Source organism: Homo sapiens, chromosome Y (assembly GCF_000001405.40).
Source record: "Homo sapiens chromosome Y, GRCh38.p14 Primary Assembly".
NCBI classification, from domain to species: Eukaryota; Metazoa; Chordata; class Mammalia; order Primates; family Hominidae; genus Homo; species Homo sapiens.
In genome coordinates this window covers 22,554,228-22,560,308 of record NC_000024.10, presented here as the reverse complement: position 1 = coordinate 22,560,308, position 6,081 = coordinate 22,554,228, and the positions used below count along the sequence as shown (strand labels likewise).

At 34.9% G+C, this 6,081-nt stretch overlaps 1 long non-coding RNA gene across 1 annotated transcript; it reads left to right on the top strand.

Annotated features, from left to right (window-relative positions):
- The first annotated feature begins 2,263 nt into the window (after nucleotides 1–2,263).
- LOC107987357 (uncharacterized) lies at nucleotides 2,264–4,261 on the top strand. The gene is made up of 3 exons (XR_001756093.1): nucleotides 2,264–2,346; nucleotides 2,464–2,524; nucleotides 4,060–4,261. It is a non-coding gene; the product is annotated as an uncharacterized LOC107987357 (long non-coding RNA).
- The last annotated feature ends 1,820 nt before the right edge of the window (nucleotides 4,262–6,081 follow it).

The following is a 6,081-nucleotide window of genomic DNA, read 5'->3' as shown; positions in this document are numbered from 1 at the left end:
TTCCACTTATGGATGTCAGCAAAATAAGCATGCATAAATATTGACTATTTTCTACAAGTATTTATTGTAACGCTTGATTAGAACTATAGGAAGCGCTTGGCACTTGGGCACTGACGGAAGTTTTTTCTTTTTTTTTGTTTTTTTTGAGATGGAGTCTGCCCTGTTGCCCAGGTTGGAGAGCATTGGTGCAATCTTGGCTCACTGCAAGCTTTGCCTCCCGGGTTCACGCCATCCTCTGGCCTCAGCGTCTGGAGTAGCTGGGACTGCAGGCACCTGCCACAACGCCCGGCTAATTTTTTGTGTTTTTAGTAGAGACTGCGTTTTACCGTGTTAGTCAGGATGGGCCCAATCTCCTGATCTCATGATCCACATGCCTCGGCCTCCCAAAAGTTCTAGGATTCAAGGACTGAAAATGTTGATTCACTTTTAGATTATGACAATTTATACACAGCAAAATTTAATGCTCTTTACATAAAAAATATTAGACTACTTAAACAAAACTTTCAAAAATTCCTGCAGCTACCAGAATTAGAAAAGTAAAATTAGGGTTGAGACACTCCCCTTCTAGAAAACTGGACTTCAATGCATCACCACTGCTGGAAAAAATAGTCATGGAACAGGAAAACAAACAGTGAGATACTTTGAAATAGCCATTCTGCACAGAAGAGAGCTTCTCTCAATTAAAAAAAAAATCCCAAATAATAAAAAAACCCCCAAAACTCTACCGATATATGATACTTGATGTTCAAGTTTAATAGCATGCTGATAGAGGTGTGCTTCCTTACTCAATTTTGAATACATTTCTGCACATGTATATTATAAAATTCAGGAAACAGCCAAATCACAAGTTAATTCTTGACATGAATTTACAGTTAATCCTATTCTAAGCAGCACATTTGAAAGCACTGATATACCCAACAGTTACACAGATTATTTCATAATGAAAAACACAAAGTTTACCATCACTAATACCCAGTAACTATAGTCACTTAATGTCTGCTACTCAATAATAATGCAGAAGGCAAGCTTGTATTGAAACTGGCTTAAACTCAAGTACTTTTCTTGCTAAACATCAAACTTTATTATTCCAGGAAACTAAGATTTAGATTAAACAAATAAATACTAAACCTAATTTAAATTCTGTCTTCGAGTCTATAAAAGTAAGAGATTAGTGGCCTATGGTCAGTTTAAATTTAGGTTTTAGAGAGTTGGTATGAAACTGTTTAACTAGACCACTGAAATGGTTAAAATTGGGGGGTCATTTTAATAAAGTAACATTTTCTATTTAAGAAAAATATTTATGGAGCAAAATTACATGAAACATATTTGGGTCTGTGGTTGTGATACAAATTCTTAGAAATTTAAACATATCCTCCTTAAGATGGAGCTGACATTTTTATCCCAAGGATAATGAAAAATGGATGAGTATGTTGTTGGAATATAACCTATTAAAAAATTGCTTTTGGAAATCTTGTGAATGAGTCTTAATCCAGATCTGTTAGGAGTAGATTATAAAATTGCATTTGGAAAGCTAATCAATGAGTCAGAATCCAAATTCTTCTGTAGTGGAGTCAGCATAATTGTTGCTAATTTTTGCATTTTTGAAAAATATTTTCTTATTGGCTGAGGAAATTAAGGGAGCCTGGACTTGGGAAGAAAAGCTAATTTGAAAAGTCAGTCATAAAAATCACATTATCTTTGAGGCAAAGTTTAATAAATGCCAGCTCTAAGAATTGAAACTTCACCCCTATTCCATTTTATTTCCTATGTAGATAGCAGTTATTTGAGGATAGATGGCGTATATGTGAATTCGTGGTCTCATCCCTTGAAAGCTGGCATGTTACAGGTCCCTATCAAGAAGCATCACATATTCCAATGAGTGTCTTAATAGAACTGCTCTAGCAACAAATGTGAACATGCCACAAATTTCCGGAGTATGAACAATCATTTTAACAAAGGGTTGCCTTTTAAAATTGCTAACTTAAAACCTCTCATATTTTTTCTGAATAAAAAGATTTAACCACTGGGAAGTTTTCCTTGGAGATACATCCCAGTAGCTTGAGATAGAAAGTGAGGTATTTGAACATTTACATTAGTTTGGTGGAATACATATGTTTACTGCAGAGCAGCCATGTGATGATTTGTCAGAGCTGTAAATGCTTCAGCTGAAACACTCTGCCAAATATTTATGTGTAAGAATTGAGTTATTCATTTTACTACGACTTGATATCTTGCAGTTCCTGTTCCTTCTTTGCTTGGATATCTTCACAAGCCTGCATTGTGTTGGCATCCAAGTAAGCTCTGTTAGAAGACAGTATCATGAGAATGTGGATCTAGAAAAGAAGGGTGAGTAGGATGTCTAGAGAGCATGTGAGAAGGCAAAGCATCATGCTAGTTAGGTTAGATGGAGTTGACGTTGAAGGGGAAAAGTGTTATTCTGTATTAATATTTGCTCTATTGCAGAGCTGTGAAATTCTGAAAACATGCTCTACTACTTGGCTTCACATTTTGAAACTGAAGAAAAGTAAGTACACAAACATTGCAAAGTGTTTCTATTGATGACTAAATGTCTGTATACTCATTAGTCTAGATGAGTCACATATATAACACATCTCACTACAATTGGGGCTTGTCTATATAAATAGATATTCATAAAATTTGCCTCAGATGTATATTGTGATAATGCTACTGAGGAATTTATGTTTGTGACTGTTATATTATCTTTAAAATTTTTTAATATTTTGATGTTTCATATTTTGTCTGTTGCCTTGCATCTATAGTTCTCCATCTTTATTCCTTGCATTTTTTCTAAAATTCTCATTTTCCTTATATAATAACAGTGGCCTAATTTTTTTGGATAAATACTTGTTAATTTTTTCTAAATCCTTATTTTCAATATTTCAGTGTGATTATTCCTAGGTGAAAGCAAATTTTTATCAATCTAACGGTAGAGTATTTTATATTTTAACACATGAGTTTAAACAGCTTACATCTAATATGGTTACTCTCTTATCTAAATAACTAACACCTGCTCAGTCAGTTTTTCATTTACCCTAGATTTTCTTTGGCTCTGCCTTTGCCTCCTATCTGCCTTTGTTCTTCTCTCCCTTTCCCCACCCGTCACCTGTTTTTCTAATTGTATTCATTTACTTTTCTTACTCGTATTTTTTTCTTTTTGTGCTTTTGACATTAATCACCAAATTTCTACAGTTTCTGTAGTTAATCAAATTCAAAAATCAAATTAAAAAAATCAGAAAATCAAATTAAAAAAATTAAAGAATCAAATTAAAAAAATTCAATAGCATTTTTTAAACAAAGTAAAACCTATGTCTAGCCCCGTTCAGAAAACAAAACAAACAAACAAACAAAAACTTCCTGCCTACCTCTTTTATTTTGAGATTTATTTTTCTCTTTGCTAAAATAAAATAAGCTTTATGTTTCTTTCTCTTGGTCTTTTGATAAGTCTTTAATATTGGCATAATCTTTGAGAGTTAAAAATATGTTTCTAGTAAATGATAATTTATGTGGATAAATATTTTCTGTAGAGATTATTTTCAAAATCTGTGTGTTTCCCTTTCTGTATATTTTTGTCTTCTTTTGTTTCTTGTAAATGTATATAAAACCTTCCACCACTGAGTTCCACTTTCCTGACTTCTGTTTCATTTACGGTCACCAGATATAATACAGGATTACCAGTTATATTTTCATTTTAAATAAGCAAATAGCATTTTAGTATAATTCTCAATATTCTAGTAACTTACTAAAATTCTCGTTATCTCATGGGACAGGCTCATACTGAAAACAAATTCTTTATTGTTTGTCAAAAAGTAATCAAATTTTAAATTGAAATGTTATGTCCCTGCACCTGGCAAACTTACTACAGATCAACATAGGAAAGTACTTTTCCTACTGTACTTGTTCGGGGTCTACTGCAGAAGAAACAAACAAACAAAATATTATTTGAGTTCCTTTAATATATGGTTGATTTTTCAATAATGTATAATTGTCTATTTAAAAAAGATTATTTTTTTCCTCCTACCCACATCTTTTTTCCTTTAGATTCCATTTCTTCATCTCAGAGAACTCCTAAACCTACTCATTATGAAGACTTTTTTGATTCAACTTTTTATCCTTGAGTATGACCATTAAGTGTGTCTTCCTTTGCTACCCCTTAGGACATGGAACATCCATCTGTGAATTGTTAATGTCGTCTGTGAAGTGATAAAGCAATCTTTAGTTCTTGAGTGTAAAGTGATTCTTAGTGGGGCAGTTTTGTGTTAACCTTTTTAGGTTAACCTTTTAGGTTAATTGTTCAATCTAGTATTGTATACCCATTTCTGCCTTTGGGGACCTTATATTTTGTAGGCAACATGAAAAAATCTAACCTCAGTCTTGAATATACCACAGGATAGAGGCTGAGATATAAATCTTTCTCTCATGTATTTGAATACAAACCTCATTCTGTGTTAGATCCTAGTATCTGTGAGACATGACTCTCTGTACTGACTTAAGTATTTTACCAAAATGTCTGAATCATGCTTTCTTCCACCAATTATTTAGGCAGGGTGCCCAACCCCACTGGACACAGAAATGGTCTCTTTCCTGAAAATATATCTAAATTTACTCCTCAGTTTACTGTATCAATGAACTGTCAGGTTTAATCTCACACTAATATTGCTGGAGTCCAAACCTCAGGGATGTTTCTTTTCTTGATAGTCAGTGTGTTATTCTTTTTTAAAATTTTATCTTACACTTAGAAGCTCTGGCTTTCATAGGAGTTGTTTTTGCAGCTTTTAACTTTGCTCCAGTGAACTGAAAAATAAACGCTTGATTTCTATTAAATCATTTGTCACTTAACAAATAAAATCTCTGACAAAGGTCTTTCTACTATAACCCTTCAGCATTTGAGGAAGAACACATTTTTGCTTATATTTTCTGGAAGTCTTCCCAATTTTGTTTTATTTTGAAGGGTAGGATATGTATTTTATAATTTTTTCATTGATCTATATTATTAATATGCTCTAAATCATTGGCTATTTTACATATATTATAAAGGCTTTGTTGGGAACAGGCCCCAAAATCTGGTCATAGATTGGCCCCAAAACTGGCCATAAGCAATATCTCTATAGCACTGTGACATGCTTCTGATTGCTATGATGACTACAATGAAGGTTGTTTATCAGAATGAAGGCCAAGGACACCTGGCACACCCAGGGCAGAAAATCACTGAAGGTATTCCTGAACCACAAATAATACCATGAACGATCTGTGCCTCAAAGACACTTTCCCACTGCAGATAACTAGCCAGAGCCCATCCTTTGTCTCCTGTTTTAGTTAATCTGTAATCTATAGAAACAATGCTTATCACTGGCTTGCTGTCAATAAATATGTGTGTTAAACTCTGTTTATGGCTCTCAGCTCTGAAGGCTGTTAGCCCCCTGATTCTCACTGTGCACACTATATTTGTGTGTGTGTGTGTGTGTGTGTGTGTGTGTGTGTCTTTAATGCCGCTAGTGCCATTGGGTTATGGTTTCCATGACCGAGCTGGCCTCGGCAAGTGGTGACTATACGGGGTCTCAAACCCAGGTCAAAGGTCACCGGAGCAATGGTTGGAGAATGTAGGACTACACTGGAGGACATCTGGCTACTCTTAAGCAATCGCCATAGTGAGTTAGAAGGGGAGTTTGGAAGCATCAGGTTAACAATGGGACAAGTCCAGGTTCTGGTTTGTTCCACCTTGGAACATTTTCACATTGATGATTAGGAGGAAGGAGAGTATAGCAAAGTAACAGAAGAGGTGACAGAATAGGTTTGTTTGCCAGCTAAAGCTAAAGTGGCAAAGGAGAGAGAGGTTTGTCTCTGCCCTTCTTCACTCCCTCACTATTTTGAAGAAAAAGAGTGGTCTGACCCTGTAGATCTTTCTTTTCTGGAACCCACTGACCAAAAACTAGTTGCCCCATGATTGTTCAAGCAGTGCCATGAGCAATTGCTCTTCGTTCTATTCAGGCAGGAATTCAGCAACCTAGACGAGAGGGTGATATAGAGGCTTGGCAGCTCCCTGTTAGGATACATGCCCCAGGT